General features: G+C 47.7%; 1 protein-coding gene and 1 pseudogene across 14 annotated transcripts; one reads left to right on the top strand and one right to left on the bottom strand.

The window, feature by feature from the left end:
- Window positions 1-2442: 2442 nt before the first annotated feature.
- Window positions 2443-18577, top strand: FAHD2B (fumarylacetoacetate hydrolase domain containing 2B). 14 transcript variants are annotated; one of them, XM_017003471.2, is made up of 10 exons: window positions 2443-2624; window positions 5337-5462; window positions 5613-5863; window positions 7000-7216; window positions 11127-11186; window positions 11464-11626; window positions 13048-13156; window positions 13290-13377; window positions 14573-14652; window positions 14895-18577. In XM_017003471.2, the coding sequence occupies exons 3-10, from the start codon at window positions 5619-5621 to the stop codon at window positions 14917-14919; spliced, it is 987 nt and encodes a 328-aa protein (XP_016858960.1). In that variant the 5' UTR covers window positions 2443-2624; window positions 5337-5462; window positions 5613-5618; the 3' UTR covers window positions 14920-18577. The 14 variants fall into 14 exon arrangements, with proteins under 14 accessions (XP_016858960.1, XP_011509047.1, XP_011509050.1 ...); XM_011510745.3 differs by having other exon boundaries at window positions 14797-18577; XM_011510748.3 differs by having other exon boundaries at window positions 14833-15288.
- Window positions 13853-15889, bottom strand: GPAT2P2 (glycerol-3-phosphate acyltransferase 2 pseudogene 2; annotated as a pseudogene).
- Window positions 18578-21998: the final 3421 nt, after the last annotated feature.

The raw sequence follows: 21998 nt of genomic DNA, 5'->3' as shown, positions 1-21998 counted from the left end.
GGCGTAAACGTGGCTAGAAAGAACTGTTATGGGAAAGTGAGCTGAGCAAGAGTGTCATGATCGAGCAGGTCTTACCATGCAGATAGCCTGTTCTCAGGAGGGACCCTCAGGAGGGCGGTGGGTTGGCACAAGCTGCGGGTGGGCCAAAGCTCAGGGGCTTGGAGAAGGAGAGAATCTGAACCAAGGTTTGGTTACAGGCATTTTGTTCTTATTGATCTGTGGGAACAAGCAGTCCAGCTAATCATTTATGATGCCAAGAATGGGAATTTAGAGGGTCTGTGTATGGTCTGGTCATGAGGGGACATTCAGGATTCTTATCCAAGCTATATGGAAAGTCACTGGTTCTTTCCAGTAGGGTGTTTTCTGGAACAAAGGAGTGGAGGGATTCCTTAATCTTCACTATTTCTAGGAGCAAAGGGCTAAGGTGCAACTCAATACTGTCAATAGTTAGGATTGAAATGGCTAGGTCATATGGTAGGAGTATGTTTAACTCTCTTCATACACTGCCAAATGATTTTCAATTGTAGTGATACTATTTTATAATCCCATAAGCAGTGTACAAGAATCCCAGGTCCTCCACATTCTTTCGAATACTTGGTATAATCAGTCTTCTTTGTCCATTCTAGTAGGTGTGAGACGGTGTCACACTGTGCTTGTAATTTGCATATCCTTAATTATTAATGATGTTGAGCATCTTTTCATGTCTTTCAATTTTCTATCTGTATATCTTCTTTGGTGAAGTGTCTGTTTAAATATTTTGTCCATTTAAAAAATTGAATTGTTTGATTTTATCTATTGATTTTAAGTGCTCTTTCTATATTCTGGATACAAGTCTTTTATCAAATATAGCCTCTGAAGATCTTTTCTTTCAGGCTGTAACTTAGCTTTTCAGAAAGTCTTTGGGAGCTATGGCTTAATGAAACACTTACGCCAGGTTCTCCTCAGCACATCCCCCTGATCACAGCCACCCCCATAGGCTCCATTTCTTTTTTTTTTTTTTTTTTTTTTTGAGACAGAGTCTCGCTCTGTTCCCCAGTGGTGTGATCTGGGCTCACTGCAAGCTCTGCCTCCCGGGTTCAGGCCATTCTCCTGCCTCAGCCTCCCGAATAGCTGGGACTACAGGCGCCCGCCAACACGCCCGGCTAATTTTTTGTATATTTAGTGGAGACGGCGTTTCATAATGTTGGCCGGGATGGTCTCGATCTCCTGATCTGATTCGCCCACCTTGGCCTCCCAAAGTGCTGGGATTACAGGTGTGAGCCACCGCACCCGGCCATAGGTTCCATTTCTATATCAGTGGTGACTTTCTGCAAGCTAGGCTGAAGTCCCAAGCTCCAGACCCACGTCTCCAACTGCCCACCGTTCAATGCCCTTTGGATGTCCCATGCAAATTGGAGCTCACTATCATCTCCCCAGACCCGCTGCTCCTCCAGAAGCCCTGTCTCCATGAACGGCCCTGCACCTACCGGGCTAGAGACCCAGGAGCCGGCCTTGTACCTGCTTCCTTCTCACTTCCACCTCCTGTCATCCAGAGCTGTCAGTTCTTCTTCCTGAACATCTCTGGACACTCACCTTCTCCGCCAAGCACCGCACCACCATTGTTCTCACCCGCACCACCCACCCAGATACCTTTCCTTAGACGGGTGGCCAGAGAAAAACTTCTCAAATAGAAGTCGGGCCATGGCACGCCACTGAGGACCTTCCAGCGGTCTCCTGTGCACTTAAACGAGGTCCAGACTCCTTTGTGGGACAAGTAAAGCTCTTGATGATCTGGTCCTTGAGTAATGTGGGGGCCTCTTGCCCAGAGCCCCTCACACTCTTCAAAGCCGGCAGCTGAAGAGCTGAGCAGTAGCTGTCTGTGGAGTTCAGCCACCGCTCCCCGCACGCCTGCCCTCTGCAGGGGATGGAGCACCGTTTCCCCACTTCCCCACCTGCGCCCAGCAGTGCAGGTGAAGGCCTGGCTGCGGAGAGTGGCTGGGAAACGCTGAGCTTTGGGGTCAGGAATGCCAGCTCCACTACTCACCGCCTGTGTCACCCTGGGAAAACAGCTCTGGCCCCAGGTTCTCCATAAGTAAAACAGGGTCACTCATCCCTCCCCTCCTTAACGACATATGTCAGAATCAGAAGCCACAAATCATTCTCTCCCACCCAGCACGCTGCCTTGGTCTCCTAGACCACTTTCCCCAACAATGGGAAAGGCGCCAGGCCCAGAACAAGGCCGAGACCGGATGAGGCCAGCGAAGCGCCCAGGGACAAACTTTCAGGCAGCGCCCACTCTCGGTCTCGGGCAATTGCAGGGTCCCTCCGAGAGCGACCGTCTCCAGAAAACGCGGCCGCCGCCTGCCTATGCCCTGAGCCTGAAGAGCCCCCGGCGCCGCCCGCCCCGCACTGGGCCCGCCCTCCGGGATTGGTGCCCTGCTAGGGGTGGTTGCCTGTGACGTCACAGGACGCGCCCGCTTCTCGCTGGAGTGCGCACCGAGCGGCAGTGACTTCGCCGCTGCTGTAGTTCCCCGGCTGGATGCGGTGACTGGTGCCAGTGCTCAGGCGCCCGCTGCCCTTGACCTCCCGCCCCGCGAGCCCTAACTCAGCGCAGGAGGACCGGCTGCCGCCGCCGCCGCCGCCAGGTAGACCAGGCCTGGCTGGGTTAGGCCAGAAGGGTGTCCCTGGCGCAGGTCTCCCGCGGAGGGCAGAACTAGAACCAGGTTCCCGGCCGTTTCCGACCACACGGATGGGGCGGACCCATGTGAGCCCTCACTAATTGCAGGGGACGAAGCTGGGCATATGGGGAAACTGGGGGTTTCCAGGCGAGTGGACGGTGGGATGGGATCCGACGTGCACACCCACGTTTCAGGCTACTGTTTCCACCTCACGTCGCCGCCCCTTTGCTTATGGACTCTTGCAGAGTTGGATTGAGCTCGGACTGTGTGACATAGTGGTTGTTGCAGAAGCCCCAGGGCCACTTTCTGACTAGTACCTTGGGCACCTGACGTCATCCCTTTGAGTCTCAGTGTCCTCTTCTGTAAAGTGAGGGCGCTTTACCTGAGGGGATTGCTGTAAGGTTGGAATGAACCTGCATGTGTGTGTCATGTGGGAAGGGAACAGTCAATGGGGCCTGGAGTTCTCTTGGAGAGCTGGTAACCAGCCTCGTCCCTGAGGCAATAGCCAGAGAGCGCCTGTAGTTTCCCCACGCATGGCTGTTTGCAGGGCCTCTGGAGGATCTCCTGTGGGAGGTCCCTACTTCTCACTACAATCTTTAGGGCCTTTGGAGGATTTCCTATGGAAGGTCCCCACTTCTCACCACAACATTCTGGGTTAAAATGTCCTTGGTAGGAAGATGGGGCTGAAGCTAGATTTTCTTGCTTGCATTACAGGCTTCTGAACCAAGGACTTCAATGTCACCTGGACTTGGATTCACATCCCAGCTCCCTCCCCTCCTAGCTTTAAGACTGTGTAACCTTGGGCAAATCCCTTAACCGCTTTAAGCCTTAACTGTTTCATCTGTAAAATGGGACTAACAGTACCTACCTTCCACAAGCGTCAAGAATTAAATCAGGCCGGGCGCCGTGGCTCACTCCTGTAATACCAACAATTTGGGAGGCCGAGGTGGGCGGATCACAAGGTCAGGAGATCGAGACCATCCTGGCTAACTCAGTGAAACACCGTCTCTACTAAAAATACAAAAATTAGCCGGGCGTGGCGGCATGCGCCTGTAGTCCCAGCTGCTGGGGAGGCTGAGGCAGGAGAATGGCATGAACCCGGGAGGCAGAGCTTGCAGTGAGCCAAGATTGCGCCACTGCACTCCAGCCTGGGCGACAGAGCGAGACTCCATCTCAAAAAAAAAAAAAAAAAAAAAGAATTAAATCAGACATTGTAGGTAGAGCACTTAATAGTTGGCATTCAGCGGCAGCAGTTACTGTTATGTTAGCATGTGGAGTGTCTGAGTGTGTGCACTTTGGCTCGAACAGCCTTTTGACAGTGGCACAGTTGGTGCTTGTGTAAGATAGCAGGGCAGAGAAGTCAAAACTCTGTTTTCTAGTCAAACTGGCGGGCCACAACAGTGGTGACCTAAGTCTAATGAGTCTTTAACTGAACAAGGCAGATTGAATCTCCAAGTGAGGACCAAGAGTCTGGGGCTCAGCTGCCTCAACATTTTTGGGCATAGAAGGCTGTACAATACAAACTGCCTTTGTTGGAAGAGCAAGGAACCATTCAGGGAAGGCACCATGTGGTAAGGAATAGTGGCCAGACTTGGATTCAGAACAAAACAAGAGAATAGTGTTTGTCTTTAAGTGGAGCCTTGGACTCAAAACAGGACCTGAGCTCTGTGGATAATTTCTTTTTTTTTTTTTTTTTTTTTTTGGAGTCGCTCTGTTGCCTGGGCTGGAGGGATGTGGCATGTTCTTGGCTCACTACAACCTCTGCCTCCTGTGTTCAAGTGATTCTCTTGTCTCAGCTTCCCTAGTAGCTGGGATTACAGGTGCCCGCCACCAGTCCTGGCTAATTTTTTTGCATTTTTAGGGGATACAGGGTTTCACCATGTTGGCCAGGCTGGTCTTGAACTCCTGACCTCAAGTGATCCACCCACCTCGACCTCCCAAAGTGCTAGGGATTTCAGGTGTGAGCCACTGCGTCTGGCCCTTGTGGATACTTTCTAGGTGATTTGAGGAGGAAAGGCACAGCCATGTCTCCTGAAGTTAACAAGCATTAAGCTTTCCCAAGTAGTGAAATGTCAAGCCCCTGCTTCTGTCACTTATTTGTTCATTTAGCAGAAAGTCACTGAGAGCCTTCTGTGCACCAGGCACAGTGCTGGGCAGTGAAAGAGACAGACATGTGCCCTGGATCCAGGGAGGAGATGACCAAGTGATGGCTGTCAGGCCTAGACCTTGCTGTTTGTCTGCAGCCTCTTCCCTCAGGCAACTTGTTCTCTATCAGGAGAAATGAAATAATTATTATCTGGGGAGGCAGGTGGGGGTGTTGCTCCTAGAAGACAAGGACAGCCTGGTAGAGGTTCTAGCTTGATCATGTGAGCAGTGGAAACCATTTTAAACAGGACCAAAATAGCATTTAAAAAATTGCTTATGGCCACTGTGAAGCCAGTTTCACCAGCGTCACTTGCCCATGCTAGGCTGCCACCCAGCTAATTCCTGGTCCTGCTCATTTAGCCCAGCTCAGCTCACATCACTTCCTCCAGAAACTAGACAAGGGTAGAGCCCCTGACCATCTTCACAGCATTAGTCCTGATAGCTGAATCTTACGTCAGTTGTTAACATCTGTGACCTGTGCAGGGAGAATGGCAGGGCTGAGTTTGACCTACATTGTTTCCCCAATACCTACAGCAGAGCCAAGCACAGTGGGAACTTTCAGAAAGCACTGGTTGAAGGAACGCTGGAATCCCTGGGACTTACTGCGTAGCATGTAGTAGTTGCTCCTCTACAAAAGTTTCACCTTATGAAGTATAGCAGGTAAAATACAAGCCTGGACCGCTTCCCGTGTGGTATGCAGGGAACGGTTGATGGGGCAAAGGGCCTTGGGCTATAGCCCTAGGAATATCAGGGATGCTGATGATGGCTCTGAGATCCTCCATCTCCTGGATCCTGTGTTTTTCTCTGCAGGCTCTGATGCTGGTGTCTGGTAGAAGAAGATTACTCACAGCTCTGCTGCAGGCTCAGAAGTGGCCCTTTCAACCCTCCAGAGACATGAGACTAGTGCAGTTCCGGGCACCCCACCTGGTGGGGCCTCACTTGGGCCTGGAGACAGGGAATGGTGGAGGGGTTATCAACCTCAATGCCTTTGACCCCACACTCCCAAAGACGATGACGCAGTTCCTAGAGCAGGGAGAGGCCACCCTCTCAGTGGCAAGAAGGTAAGTAAGTGGGCAGCATCGCCCTGAAGCAGCTGCCCTGGTCCCCCTGCACCCTCCCCGCTCTGGGAAACAGCACCAGCAGGTAGCTCTTTTGCAAGGGAGCAGAGTAACCCCACCTTTCCTTTTCTCCCGTTCTCTTAAAAGATCCTTAGAAATCTTACATAATAACATCTTCAGTTTTCAGAGGAGAAAACAGAGAGCTAGGGGAGGTGATTAACAATTTCAAGGCCATACATGTGGTGCTGGAACCAGGACTCTATACTTCATCACACTGCCTCCTCTGGGAATGAAGTCCTGGACTGACTGACGGGTCTGGGCCCGGGGGTCCTAAAAGGCATCTTATGCAGCTGGGGGAGTGATATAGACTCCCAGCTCCTACAAGGAGAGAGGACTGCAAGGAGGTTTTCTATAAGACACTTGGTTCCTGGGTTTGGACTAGATTAGGTGAGAGTGTCCCTGAAGCCTGGACCCCTATAGAATCTGGTCTAAGGAGCTGATGAACAATAAATTAAAAATACTTTAAGATGTCATTTTCATCTATTAAAATGGAAAAAAATACAAATGTTTCACAGCTCACAGTATTAACAGTATGTTCCCATATTGCCATATTCTGCAAAGACTGGAAATCTCCATGCCCCTCATTAGGGACTTGGGTATATCTCTATAGAGCAGTAATATGCAGCCACAAGAAATAAAGAGGACACTCTCTATGTATTGTTACATATTGTTAAGCAGAGATCTCCAAAGTCAGTTGTTTTTTTAAAAGATGTAAATAGTATGCTATCATTACATACAAAAGGGTGGGAGAAGAATATCCATAGAGTAGCTGCGAAGAGCCAGGGGAACGGGGTAACCAGAAGGGGAAAGGGAGACCTTTCCATGTATTCCAGTTTGTATCTTTTACATGGACATGAGTTACCTAAGGGGGAGAGGAAATCAATACTGGATAAATAAAAGCCCTGCTCTGACAGCAAAGGACAATAGTCAGTGGTTTTCACACTGACTCTGATGGTTGATAGAGCTAGGAAATAGATTTCAAAAAGCAAAACCTGTAGCTGCTGCAGGATCTGCCCAGCCTGCCCGGGATTGCCCACCTGTTCCCAGCCAGACCCTCTCACCTGCTCTGGTCTCTACAGAGCCTTGGCTGCCCAGTTGCCAGTCCTACCATGGTCGGAGGTAACCTTCCTGGCTCCAGTCACATGGCCAGATAAGGTGGTGTGTGTGGGCATGAATTATGTGGACCACTGCAAAGAACAGAACGTGCCCGTGCCCAAGGAGCCCATCATCTTCAGCAAGTTTGCCAGCTCCATCGTGGGGCCCTATGATGAGGTGGTCCTCCCACCACAGAGCCAGGTCAGTGCCTCCCCACTGCCCTCCCTAGTCACTGGGCCCATCACAAGGGCATTCTGAGCTCAGTATTGAGCCTACTGGAGCCACCTCTCGCTCAGTAGTGCATTCAACAGAAACTCTACAGGATTATACACACAGTAGTAACACTGGCCTTGGAAAAAAAAAGTTAATGTACGTGTTTTCCTGGTTACAAAAGCAATACACCTTCACTGTAGATAAAACAGAGATAAACATTTAAAAATTACGTCACCCATAATCCCACTGCCCATGGCTCGGAATATTAATGTTTTTCTGTCTACCTTCCCAGTGTTTCTCCACTCCTGTATATGTTTATACTGTACATATACTTACCTTTTACTTAAGACTCCATCAGGAGCATTTTTTCATGCCATTAAATATTCTCCCTGACATATTTAGGTTACCTTGGAGTTTTGTGATGTACAGGGTAGTTTATATTCCTGAGTACCTTACTGCTGGATACTTGTTTCCAGTTTTTGGTTTCTATAAATAAATGTCGCAATGAACATCCTTATGTAGAAAAGACTTTGCATGTCCATTAATATATTATTATTTCCTTTTTTTTTTTTTTTTTTTGAGACAGAGTCTTTCTCTGTTGCCAGGCTGGAGTGCAGTGGTACAATCTTGGTTCACTGCAACCTCCGCCTCCTGGGTTCAAGTGATTCTCCTGCCTCAGCCTCCCGAGTAGCTGGGACTACAGGCGCATGCCACCACGCCCACCTAATTTTTGTATTTTTAGTAGAGATGGGGTTTTACCATGTTGGCCAGGATGGTCTCAGTCTCTTGGCCTTGTGATCTGCCTGCCTCAGCCTCCCAAAGTGCTGGGATTACAGGTGTGAGTCACCACACCCGGCCTTATTATTTCCTTTGAATGAACTCTTAGGATTTGAATATTATCAAACTACAGGCAGTATTTCAAAACCCTTGAGAAAATCTCCCAATTGTCCTTTAAGCAAATTGTAAGAGCAACTTACACATCCATCGTTAGTGTATATACCCTTACTAACACTGGTTACTTTTCCTCGCAAATTTTTATTTTAGAAATGTCTTGGGAATTATAGAAAAGCTGAAATAATACAGTGAATGCTCATATACTTTTCACCTGGTTTCACTGTAGACATTTGCTGTATTTGCTTTCTCTCCCTTGCCCTCTCCCTGCCCTTCACATGGCAAACACACATTTTTTTTTTGGCAGGGGTTGGGGTGACACATTGCAAATATTGTCATAAAACTGAAATAGACACTTTATAAGGACAATGGCTTGCATGACCATACCATTATCACAGCCAAGAAAATTAACTTGAATGATATTTAATATGAAATCCAGTTGCCCCAAAGATGACTTTTAATTTGGTTACTTTGTTGCTCTGTGATCAACCAAGGGCACACACTGTATTCAGTTATATCTCTTTAGTAGTTTTAACCTAGAACAGGGTTCCATAGACTTTTTCTTAAAGGGCTGTATTAGTCTGTTTTCTTGCTGCTAATAAAGACATATCCGAGACTGGGCAATTTACAAAAGAAAAAGGTTTAATTGGACTTACAGTTCCACGTGGCTAGAGAAGCCTCACAATCATGGCAGAAGGCAAGGAGGAGCAAGTCACATCTTAGGTGGATAGCAGCAGGCAGAAAAGAGCTTGTGCAGAGAAACTCCCGTTTTTAAAACTATCAGATCTCGTGAGACCCATTCACTATCATGAGAACAGCACGGGAAAGACCTGCCCCCATGATTCAGTCATCTCCCACCGGGTCCCTCCCATAGCACATTAGAATTATGGGTGCTACAAGTTGAGATTTGGGTGGGGACACAGAGCTAAACCATATCAAGAGCCAATTAGTAAATATTACGCTTTGAGTGTCATATGGTCTGTTTTGCAACAATTCAACTCTGCTGTTATAGTGTGAAAACCACCAGGGACGATACAGAAATGAATGATGGGTTTCCAATCAAAGTTGATTATAGCAGACAGTGAGCTGGCCATAGTTTGCCAACTCCTGACCTCAAACAATCCCCCCTGCCCTTTCCTTGAAGAATCCAGTTGTCTCATAGCATGTTTCACATCCTGGGTTTGTCTGGTTGTTTCTTCATGATTAGTGTCAGGGTAAGCATTTTTATCAAGAGATCTACAAAGATGTTATACATTTCCCATTGCATCTGACTGGGAGGCTCATGTCAGTGGTCCCAGAATTTGACCACTTGGTTTAGCTGACGTTCACTAGGTCCCTCCATTGTGAAGACGCATTTCCATTTTTGTAATTAACAAGCAATCTATGTGGTAGTTTGAGATCACATAACTATCTTATTGCCCCATAGATTCTCATCCAAGGATCCTGTAGTCATCCTTACTGGACCCATTATTGCATTGGGGGATGAAGAGCAATGACTTTTCTTTTCTTTTGTGATGGAGTCTCTGTCACCCAGGCTGGAATGTAGTGGCACCATCTTAGCTCACTGCAACCACTGCCTCCCAGGTTCAAGCAATTTTCCTGCTTCAGCCTCCCTAGTAGCTGGGATTACAGGGATGCACCACCACACCTGGCTAATTTTTTGTATTTCTAGTAGAGACAGGGTTTCACCATGTTGGCCAGGCTGGTCTTGAACTCCTCACCTCAGGTGATCCACCTGCCTCAGCCTCCCAAAGTGCTGGGATTATGGGCATGAGCCACTGCACCCGGCCAAGAACAATGATTTTTCTAAATCATGCAGTTTTTGTTAGCTGGCATTCTTCTATGAAAAAAGCCTGGCCAGACACATTGGCTCACACCTGAAATCTCAGCACTTTGGGAGGCCAAAGCGGGCAGATCACGAGTTCAGGAGATCAAGACCATCCTGGCTAACACAGTGAAACCCCATCTCTACTAAAAATACAAAAAATTAGCCAGGCGTGGTGGCAGGTGCCTGTAGTCCCAGCTACTCGGGAGGCTGAGGCGAGAGAATGGTGTGAACCCAGGAGGCGGAGCTTGCAGTGAGCTGAGATTGCACCACTGCACTCCAGCCTGGGCAACAGAGTGAGACTCCGTCTCAAAAAAAAAGAAAAAAAGCTGCCTCCCTCTTTATTCCTGTGTCTTCAATATCACTGTGAATTCCTTTTTGTTTTTATTCAATTGGTTGTAATCCATCATTTACATTCTTCAGGTGACCTCAATTTGGCCAATGAGGGACCTTCAAGTTTGTTCCATCCCCAAGCTTTTAGCATATATTTGCTTTCTGGCCAAGACGTTCCAGGCTCATCATGTACTGTCTGTCTTGGACCAAGGAACCCAGTGCTCCTTAGTGGGGAGTGGTATTAGAGACCAACATCTGGATGTCAGGTGTACTTATACCAACTCTGGTTATTATTAGAAAGAGCCACCAATTTTGAAGGCCAAATTATATCTATTTTATAGTGTATTTTATGGATTATGGGAGAGGCTGAGCATTTTTTCATGTTTTGTGGCCATGTCCGTTACCTTTTTGTGAATTGCTTACTCAAGTCCTTTGTGGCATGTCAATCTTTCTCTTACTAAAGTGAGTTAATAGATTAAAACACTTAGAACAGTGCCTGACACACAGTAAGGTTACATATTGCTAGGGGATATTACTTCGTATTTATCCTTTGTTAAAAGTATCCAGAGTGACTTTTAAACTCAGTGCCCTGGACACGTGTTGCTCTTCTGCAGTCACAGTGGTGTGGGGACCTGTGCCTGTATTCCATGATGCTGTCTGCCACTGCCCAAAATGTATGGGTCTACAAGTCACACCTCCCTTGTCATTCACTGGGCTCTGGTTCAGGGTGATGGCAAACGTGGGATGGCAGCCAAGCCATACTGACAGAGATCCATGGCGTACAGCCTCTGAGCATAGATAATGGGCCCCGAAGCCACTGCGGCTCACTATTCCTCTCCCACCCTACAGGAGGTAGATTGGGAAGTGGAGCTGGCCGTGGTCATTGGAAAGAAAGGCAAGCACATCAAGGTGAGGTGGAAAGGGTGGGCTCCCAGGCCAGAGTGCAGCAGAGGCCCCAGCTCCTGCCTCTCCTAGTTCTGACCTCACTCACCGACACACGGCACCAGCTGTCCCTGACACTAGGAAGCAGTCAGCCTCCTTGCTCCCTGACACTGCCTTTCCCTTCACCCACCTTTGGCTGGCTCTGGCTACTAACATGGGATAACAGCTTTGAGATCCCTTGCCACAGGTGTTGGTGTCACCCGTGATCTAACCTCCTGTATGGCCAAATCCCCTGCCCCCATAGGCCACAGATGCCATGGCCCACGTGGCCGGCTTCACTGTGGCTCATGACGTGAGTGCTCGTGACTGGCTAACAAGACGCAATGGGAAACAGTGGCTGCTGGGAAAAACCTTCGACACCTTCTGCCCTCTGGGCCCTGCCTTGGTGACCAAGGACAGTGTAGCAGGTAGGTCCCTGGTCCCTGCCCCCTGGTACCTACCATTGCACAGATGAACAGCCCTCCAGGGAGGAGCATGGGTTCAGGTACATGTGGCACCTGCCCTCCCTGGCTGCCCTTTGACTGCTGACTCCATACAGGGAAAGTCTTTTATCCTCAGCCACCAGTTCTCCCATGGGCTTCCTTCCCAAGCCCCCTAGAGGGAACACAACTGCAGAGGATGTGAAACTGCATGCGTGAAGTAAATTACAAAGAACACTGAGCTGATGGGTGGATCGGGCTTCCTGCGGCTGCCACCATCTGAAATAATCTAAGTTGAGCATCATGGAGCATAGCTATCGCAAGGCCCAGGCATTTTCCACACTACAGATGAAAGCCAGTGTGACTCACCCAGCCACTGTGGAAACAACAGCATTGACCACACACAGTGAGGGGACAGCGCCAGGTTGGAGGCAGTGTGCCAGAGGGCAGAGCGCAGCCTCTTAACACACAGCCACCCACAACTGTGGTGGAGGTGGGGGGTGTCCACATGGGCCAGCCATGCCAGGATACCAAAGACCCCAGTGCCTCACAGCACCCACACAGAGTCCTCGGCAAAGTTAAATTGTGTTTCAGCTGCTCTACTTAAGGGTGGTAGAACACTAAGACCAACACCAACAGTTAAAAGTGCTGGTTAGCCAGGATGTTCTTACAGTAATCCATCCCCTGCCAGCGGCTGATACACGAGGCTTCTCTGTCCCGGCTAGAACCACTGCCTCACTGCTTTATAGATTCTGAGTCTTTTTTTTTTTTTTTTTGGCATGGTCTTACTGTGTCACCCAGGCTAGAGTGCAGTGGCCCAATCCCAGCTCACTGAAGCCTCAACCTCCTGGGTTCAAGCGGTTCTCCCACCTCAGCCTCCTGAGTAGCTGGGACTACAGGCACGCACCACCACGCCTGACTAATGTTTTTATTATTTTGCATAGAGACAAGCACTCACTGTGTTACCCAGGCTGGTTTTGAACTCCTGAGCTTAATCAGTTCTCACCTGTTTTGCCCTCCCAAAGTGCTATGATTACAGGTGTGAGCCACCACGCTTGGCCCTGCCCGGGAGTCATTTTTGTATCTACAGGTATCTTCCTATGCTGTAGACAGATGCCCTTTCTTGAGGCAAAAACCCTAGCCATTTTTCTCTTCTCCTTCAGAGTCTGGAACATCCTCTCAACTCATTCAAGTGACTACTGCCTGGTGCTCTTGGTGGGGATGCAGGGAGGCCTGAGAAGGCCAGTGTCTATACAGAAAGTTCTAACATAGTGCACTGAGTCAATGTGGGCACTTTAAAGCCCTTTCACCTGCCAAGTCACGAAGCGCCCCTACAGTTGTGTTTGTAAAACACTGGGGGGTTTGAGGGGGAAAAGGGATAACTCCAAGGTTCCATCTTTGCATTTCAGATCCACACAACTTAAAGATCTGCTGCCGAGTGAATGGGGAAGTCGTCCAGAGCAGCAACACCAACCAGATGGTATTCAAGACAGAGGACCTGATAGCCTGGGTCTCCCAGTGAGTGACAAGGGCTGTCCTGCCAGCCCCGCTCCACCTGCCACACATGTGGAGGCTGACCTGAGCCCTCCACCTTTGGCTGTGGCCACTCAGCCAGCCCCTGGTCTCACTGGGTCCTTTTGCTTTGCTCCAGGTTTGTTACCTTTTACCCAGGGGATGTCATCCTAACTGGGACCCCCCCAGGTGTCGGTGTATTCAGGAAACCTCCTGTCTTTCTCAAGGTAGGTTAGCGAAAAGCAAAGAGAGCAAGGGCCCCAAAGGCCTGGCAGGCTTGGCTCAGACTTGAGAAGTACAGGCTTGTGTATGTGTCTGACGGAAGGGCTGACACCGTCATGGCCTGCTCTGTTGCAGAAGGGGGATGAAGTCCAGTGTGAGATTGAAGAACTAGGTGTCATCATCAACAAGGTGGTGTGATGGCTCCTGCACAGGCCCGACATAGGATGAGGGCATCTGCTCCCACTCAGCCTAGCCCAGGGAAAGGCCCAGTGGCAGGTGTGGGCAGGTGCCAGCCCTGCAAGCCGCCTCTTCTCGGTAGAAGGGAGAAGGACAGAGCTCTCTTCAATAAATGCGTCGGGTCAAAGCAGCAGCTTGGCTTGTGCTGTTTGTCTTCTTTTGGGCTTTGTTTCATGGAACAAGTTGGGGCATTTTGTGGGACTGGGAAGAAGAGAGCAAATACACACACATACGCCAAAAAGATGCTGCTGGGCTGGGGAAAAGACAACTCGTCTCGTCCCCTTGTTTATCACATCAAAGGAGGGAAAAAGCAAGAGATGGCAAGGGACAATCAAGCCTCAATGATTATATTTATAGAGCAGCTAAGGGTTTGCAGCCTCCTCTCCATCTTCTGGCTCTAGGACACAGCTGTGTTCTGGGGCTGAGAAGTCTCAGCACAGGCTCCTCCTCACAGTTCTAGCTACAAATGAACTGCCGGATGAACTGTTCTAGTTTTTCCTGATTGTCCTGGCTGGCAAAAGTAGGGGATAGGTGGAGCCTGGGGCCTGCAGGGCTCGGCGTCTGCTGCAGAACCTGGGCCATGGAAGATGCGCCATGAGTGCGCTCACCACAGGGACTGTGTCTGCATGGCTCAGGGGCCAGGCCTGTCCCCCAGAAACCTGCCTTGAGACCTCTGGCCCCTTAGACCTCAGTGTTTGCATGCAAATGCTGCCGCAAAGCAGCCCCACCTAGAAAGATGAGCCAGTGATTTGGGAGACCAAGAGGCAGGAAACCATCCCACCTTCTCCAACCCATCACCACATCTGTTGCTGGAAGACACCAAGTAAATCCCAGGGTCTTAATGAGGCACCATCAGGCCAGCCCTGTGGAGTGATGGGGACATAGCTGGGTTTCCCTGAGCCACTCTATTGGGGTGGGAGCAGGGGGACAGAAGATGGTGACACTGGCTCCTCTCACCCCTAGGTCTCTGAAGGTCCAGATAGCACTGATGGCAAGCTTTGGGTCCGCACACTCTGGAAAGAAGAGAGAAGTGAAGGCTCTAGGTAGGGAGGACAGGGAGCCACTGGGCACAGGCTTCTCTCCTCTTGTTTAAAGAAGCCCCGGGAGGGATAGAACTCAGACTGGACAGAAGACTGTCTGTACTCTGCAGCCCACCTTCCTAGACTTGGGTTGTCACTGTCTGGCAGGGGGCAGCAGCCACCAGCAAACACCACTGCCTGCAGGAGCCTGGGCTGACTGGTTGAGACTCACCGAAGATCCCTTCTTCCTGGGCGGTGGCCTGCAGGAACTGGAACAGCTGGTCTGTGTAGCCCGACTCTGCAGAAGAGAGAAGACCTAGACCTGGCACCCAGCACAGACACAGCCTGCCTCGAGGACTGCAAGGGAACAAGGGCCTCACCAGTATCGGGCAGCTGGCCCTGGCGGAGGAAGGCGGCAGCCTGTGCAAAGGCCTTGAGCAGCGGGCTGAGCAGGCGGCAGAGGAAAAGAAAGAAATCTGGGCAGTGTGACTGCTGGCTGAGCTGGAGGGGACAGGCCGGGGTGAGTGCAGCTCCCCACCACCTCCCTACCACCTCCCTCCAGGGGCAGCTTTTTGAAACACACCCTGGAGTACTGGCCCTCGGTCTCTTTGAAGTCATCACTGTCACTATCAGTAAAATCCCCACTCGGTTTCCACAGCAGCTTTCTGCTCAGTCGCCGTTGCCCTGTGTCACAGGCTGGCCGGACCCGGAGCCATTGTTCTCTGACAAGCTGGCCAGGGATCAACCCTACACCCCCAGACCAGGTACATGCAGGTGAAACCAGTAAAAGCAGACCTAGAGACCCAAGAGGATGGCCAGAGCCATGCCCCAGCACCTGCTGGGCCAACTTGCAGAGTGAGAGGAAGTGAATTCCCACCCTCAAGGGCAGTAGCCCTGTGGCCAAGAAATGTGGGGAGCAGGAGGTGTGCAGAGAACCTCAGAGGCACACATGTCCAGTGCTATCCAGAGAGACACACACAGAACCGGGGCATAGGTGGCCATATCCCAAGGCACAGGGAGCAGAGGTGCGAGCTAGGCTTCCCCGCTGCAAGGCCAGGGGCTGCCCACCCCCACAGCACACACAGGGCAGAGGAGGAGCCTGGGGCAGCTGGCACTCAGGGTGGGAGGCTGGAGGAGGCCAGGCTCCAGGCAAGGATCTTGTCTCCAACTGCCCTGCCTACCTCCTCAGCAACCAGGAGCCCGCATTGGATGAGCCTGTCCAGCACCTCCTGACAGTAGCAGTAGGAAGACTGGCAGGGCTGGGAGAAAAAGGCACCCATGTGGCCTCAGGAGAGCCAGGCACATGGGCAGGGGCCTAGCCAAAGACCGGGCAAGGCCAGACCTACCACCCAGGAGGTTTCAGAGGTAGAGCATGGGCAGGGATGGGCCATTCCTACCACCAAGAGGGGAAGGCCTAGGACCAAGTGGGCCGTAGGGGAGGCCTGACCTTTAGCAGCAGCAGGTCTTGCGGCAGCAGGTGCATCAGCAGCAGGATCTGGCGGTACAGCTCATTCTGGCTCAGCAGCAATATGCCCTGCAGCTCCCAGGGCCCCTGGGGCGGCACTCTGCCTGCCAGCAGCCCCCGCACTGCACAGGCTGGGGGCGGAGGGTCCATTATGAGGAAGGAGCCGTTCCCTTCACCACTGCACACACATCCCACCTCGGCCTCCAGAAGTGCTGGGATCACAGGCATGAGGCACCGCGCCCAGCCCCCAAAGCTTCTTAAGCTGATAAGCAACTTCAGCAAAGTCTCAAGTTACAAAATTAATGTGCAAAAATTGTTATAGCATTTCTATACACCAACAACAATCGAGCTGAGAGCCAGATCATGAGTGAGCTCCCACTCACAATTGCTACAAGAAGAATAAGGTACCTGGCAATTCAGGTAACAAGGGAAGTGAAGGACCTTTACAAAGAGAACAACAAACCACTGCTCAAAGAAATCAGAGAGGATACAAATGGAAAAACATTCCATGCTCATGTATAGGGAGAATCAATATTATGAAAATGGCCATACTGCCCAAAGTAATTTATTGATCCAATGCTATTCCCATTAAACTACCATGGAAGTTCTTCACAGAAATAGAAAAAAAAATATTTTAAAATTCATGTGGAACCCAAAGAGAGCCTGAAGAGCCAAGGCAATTCTCAGCAAAAAGAAAAATCTGGAGGCATCATGCTCTTCAACTTCAAACTATACTACAGGTCTACAGTAACCAAAGCAGCATGGCACTGGTGCAAGAAAAGACACATAGACCAATGGAACAGAATAGAGAACCCAGAAATAAGACTACACCCCCACAGCAATCCGATATTTGACAAACCTGACAAAAACAAGCAATGGAGAAAGGATTCTCTAATAAATGGTGCTGGGAAAGCTGGCTAGCCATATGTGCAAATTGAAACTGGACTCCAGCCTCACACCTAATAAAAAAATCAGCTGAAGATGAATTAAAGACTTAAATGTAAAACCCCAAACTATAAAAATCCTAGAAGAAAGCCTAGGCAATACCATTCGGAACATAGACATGGGCAAAGATTTCATGACAAAGATGCCAAAAGCAATCGCAACAAAAGCCAAAATTGACAAATGGGATCTAATTAAACTAAAGAGTTTCCACACAGCAAAAGAAACTAACAGCAGAGTAAACAGACAACCTAAAGAATGAGAGAAAAGTTTTGCAAACTATGCATCTAACAAAGGTCTAATATCTAGCATCTGTAAGAAACTTGGCTGGGCATGGTGGCTCACACCTGTAATCACAGCACTGTGGGAGGCCAAGGCAGGAGGATCACCTGAGGTCAGAAGTTCAAGACCAGCCTGGCCAACATGATGAAACCACATCTCTAGTCAAAATATAAACATTAGCTGGGCGTGGTGGTGCATGCCTGTACTCCCAGCTACTCGGGAGGCTGAGGCAGAAGAATTGCTTGAACCCAGGAGGTGGAGGTTGCCGTGAGCCGAGATTGCACCACAGCACTCCAGCCTGGGCAAAAGAGTGAGACTCCGTCTCAAAAAAAAAAAGAAAAGAAAAGAAAAAATAAAATAAAAAAGAAATTTAAACAAATTCAAAACAACCCCACTAAAAAGTGGGCAAAGGACATGAAAAGACACTTTTCAAAAGAAGACATACATGCAGCCAACAATCATATGAAAAAAAGCTCAACATCACTGATCAGTAGAGAAATGCAAATTAAAAACCACAGTGAGATACTATCTCACACCAGTCAGAATGGTGATTATTAAAAAGTCCAAAAATAACAGGTGCTGGCAAGGTTATGGAGAAAAAGGAGCACTTTTATACTGTTGATGGGAATATAAATTAGTTCAACCATTGTGGAAAACAGTGTGATGATTCCTCAAAGACCTAGAGAAATAAATAACATTCACCCAAGCAATCTTATTACTGGGTATATAACCAAAGGAATGTAAATCATTCTATTATAAAGACACATGCATGCATGCGTCCATTGCAGCACTATTCACAATAGCACAGATGTGGAATCAATCTAAATGCCCATCAATGATAGACTGGATAAAGAAAATGTGGTATATATACACCACGAAATACTATGCAGTTATAAAAAGTAAGAATAAGATCACGACCTTTGCAGGGACATGGATGGAGCTGGAGGCCATTATCCTTAGCAAACTAATGCAGGAACAGAAATCCAAATATTATACCACATGTTCTTACTTATAAGTGGGAGCTAAATGATGAGAACATATGGACGCAAAGAAAGGAACAATGCACACTGGGGCCTACCAGAGGATGGAGGGTGAGGAGGGAGAGCATCAGGAAAAATAACTAATGGATACTAGGTTTAATACCTGGGTGATGAAATAATATGTACAACAAACTCCTATGACACATGTTTACCTATGTAACAAACCTGCACATCCTGCACATGTACCCCTGAATTTAAAATAAAAGTTTAAAAAAAAGTATTTCAAGATAAATGTGTTCTTATTGAATAAACAATAATTTTGTGAAAAAAAGAGGCTGAATTGAAGGTGGCAGAAGAGCTCCCAAATAACAGTCACCTAAACAAGTTAGTATACTTCTTGCTCACACAAAATTTGATAGAGGCTTGGCCATCCGGGTTTGGTGTGGCAGCTGTGCCTCATGAGCCACTGGGACTCCACACTCCCCCAGCTTTACTTAGGGCATGTCTCATTTACTAATAGTCACATAGAGCTGCTGGAGCTCCAGGAAATATAAGTGCATCCAAGCTGCAGTAATGAAAGAGGAGTAGAAAGGACAAAAGATACCCTCCTGTAAGGAAAGACCCTGGAAGTCACAGGCAAATAATCGTGCCTTCATCTCACTTTCCCAAATTTAGTTCCATGGTCGCAATGACCTCCAAGGGAGGCTAAGAAACGTAGTGTTTACGTAAATGATAATGTTCTCAGCTGACTGTGTGGCGTTCTAAGGGAAAATGGGATTTAATAAATATTAAATATTTATTATTTAATATTCAATAAATATTAAAAAGAAACTAGGATCCTTTGACACACATAATACTCCTTCTACAACAGTAATAATACCTTTTTAAGGTACTCTTATATTACCTAGAAAAAACTTGGGAAATGCAGACTCTGAACACAATATGAAGAGGTAATTCAAAGTAGAGAAAACTTTAATGGGTTAGAAATATGTGAACAGCAACTCAGAAATATTAGTGACCTAATAAGTGACACAAAATAACACTTTATATTTGTTTATTAACTTTAGAAATTTGGATTACGCCAAACATTAGTGACAATGTGAGGATATGGGCATGTTCATGTTTTACTTCAAGGATGCAGACTCCTTTGGAGATTATTTTCTTAGTACTTAGGGAAAATTTTTATGTGTATACTTTACGTCCTGACCATCACATCCTGGGTATATTCCCCTGAGAAGCAGCCACAGAAGTCTATCAGAGGACATTTTCAAAGATCTTATTTGCAACAGTTTATTCTACTTCTAATTGTACTGAATTTAGATGCCCTTTACTTGGAGATTTCATGCATAAGACATGGAACAGCTATTATAAATAAATTCATGATGTAATACGCATATACGAACTATATATTCCACATGAAATATATATTTGTGTACATATGTGCACAATACATACTCACAAAACACTACTGGTAGGCTTAAAATGATGTGCAAATACACTAAGCATATTCTAAGAAGCAGATGGCTATCTAGACATAAATAACTTACGTATATTTAAAAGATACGCACATGGCCGGGTGCAGCGGCTCACACTTGTAATCTCAGCACTTCGGGAGGCCGAGGAGGGTGTACCACTTGAGTCCAGGAGTGTAATATGAGCCTCGGCAGCATGGTGAAACCCCGTCTCTACTAAAAATAGAAAAATTAGCCAGGTGTAGTAGGACCCTCCAGATCCAAATGAAACCAACCAGAACAGACTTACCCAGGACCATGTAGCTGTCACCATCTGAGGCCACTTACCTGGCCCCCAAAAGGCCCTAATGGCCCTCAGTGCCATTCCACCCTGACCTGGTTCTCTCTCTGCCCCCTACCATCTGATGCCATCCACACTTGTACTGCCCTGGCACATCCTGAGGGTTCAGACCTAGCCGTTTTTCCTCTCCACCTTGGATGTTCAAAAGAAGAGTACCTGTCCTAATTGAAAAGTTTGGCTAAAGTAGACAGCTTTCACATTAGAGGGTGATGGGCCTTGGGCCAGCTCTGATTAAAGACACTGTCCTGGTGTTTGCCGTCAGGATAGGGCCTGGAAACTGGCAGGAGAAGACTCTTGTGACCATTTTGGATCCCTTCACTGACAGTAGGTGATAAAAGGACCCTCTGGCCCCCACTCTTAATGTAACTGCATTTGTGTTATGTATGTGTTTCCATTTGTGCTCTTTTAAAATTATGTCTGTACGTATATTAATATATTATGTAGTTACACACATACACACACACACACACACACACACACACACACACATATATATATTCTGCACAACTCCAGTCTCAACTCAGTTATCCCTCTTCTGTATGTCCAAGTTCTCTTGTGGGCATCTGCAAGTGATGGCATACTCTTTCTCAATTGACTCGTGGCCAGTCTCAGAACGGTGGGTCCATATGTTACGGATACCCATTTATGAATGGCCTATACCTATAGACAGCTGGCCTGCTCTTTCCAGGCCCCTTACTAAGAGTATTGTGGAAAACCTTAGAGCTTTTGAAAAGTAATTGGACTTTTAGCTAGAAGAAATGAAGAAATTGCCCAGAATTATCATCAGTTAGAGGAAGCTCTCTGTGCCTAGATTTTCTGACATGAGATAATAGCCAATATGGCTGATCCCAACCCATAATTGTATGCTCTTGACAGCTTCTGTTTTTTTTTTTTTAAATCAGTTGTTGCTCTCTGGAATTCCAATGATGAGTTCAACTTAGTTAACATCTCCTTTCTAAATGTGAGGGTTAAGGAGTTGGTGGTAATTCATATAATAATTAGTTAGAATCAAATTACTTTCTTTTGGAATAAAATAAGTCAGGCCAGCCACTCTGAAAGAAGGTGAGTTTTGGGTTGGAGTCAGAAAGTCCATGCTTTTGGGGGATGACTCCTTTGGGAAAGGGGATAGAGTAAAACCAGTCAAGAGAGATAAGGTGAAGGGTTCAAGGCAGCTCTATATGGAGGACAAGGGTAGGGACAAGAGGTAGTAAGTAAGAGGAGAAAGATGAACTTTTGGTTTTTCAAAATATTCCTAGTCACTGTCCTAATGTTGATACCAATGGTACATTCATAGCATGGGATATTCTGCAGCCGTTAAAGAAGTAAGGTAGATTTATGGGTAAAAAGAAAGTGTACCAAGACAAGGATGCCTTCTCTCACCACTCCTATTCAACATAGTATTGGAAATTATGGCCAGGACAATCAGGCAAGAGAAAGAAATAAAGAGTATTCAAATAGGAAGAGAGGAAGGCAAACTATCCCTGTTTGCAGATGACATGTCCTATATTTAGAAAACCCCATCATCTCAGCCCAAAAGCTTCTTAAGCTGATAAGCAACTTCAGCAAAGTCTCAACTTACAAAATCAATGCACAAAAATCTCTAGCATTCCTTTATACCAACAACAGGCAAGCAGAGAGCCGAACCATAAATGAAGTCCCATTCACAATTGACACAAAAAGAATAAAATACCTAGGAATACAGATAACAAGGGAAGTGAAGGACCTCCGTAAGGAGAACTACAAACCACTGCTCAAGGAAATCAGAGAGGAAACAAACAAATGGAAAAACATTTTATGCTCATAGATAAGAAGAATCAATATCATGAAAATGACCATACTGCACAAAGTAATTTATAGATTCAATGCTATTCCCATTAAACTACCATTGA

This window comes from Homo sapiens, chromosome 2, assembly GCF_000001405.40.
Source record: "Homo sapiens chromosome 2, GRCh38.p14 Primary Assembly".
Taxonomy (NCBI): Eukaryota; Metazoa; Chordata; class Mammalia; order Primates; family Hominidae; genus Homo; species Homo sapiens.
This window is presented reverse-complemented; position numbering and strand designations above follow the sequence as displayed.

Coding starts and splice junctions, on each gene's coding strand:
- FAHD2B (XM_011510747.4), top strand. CDS start 5,619: ATGCTGGTGTCTGGTAGAAGAAGATTACTCACAGCTCTGCTGCAGGCT. Junction 7,217..11,126: donor TCCTCCCACCACAGAGCCAG/GTCAGTGCCTCC, acceptor CCCACCCTACAG/GAGGTAGATTGGGAAGTGGA. Junction 11,627..13,047: donor GACCAAGGACAGTGTAGCAG/GTAGGTCCCTGG, acceptor TTTGCATTTCAG/ATCCACACAACTTAAAGATC.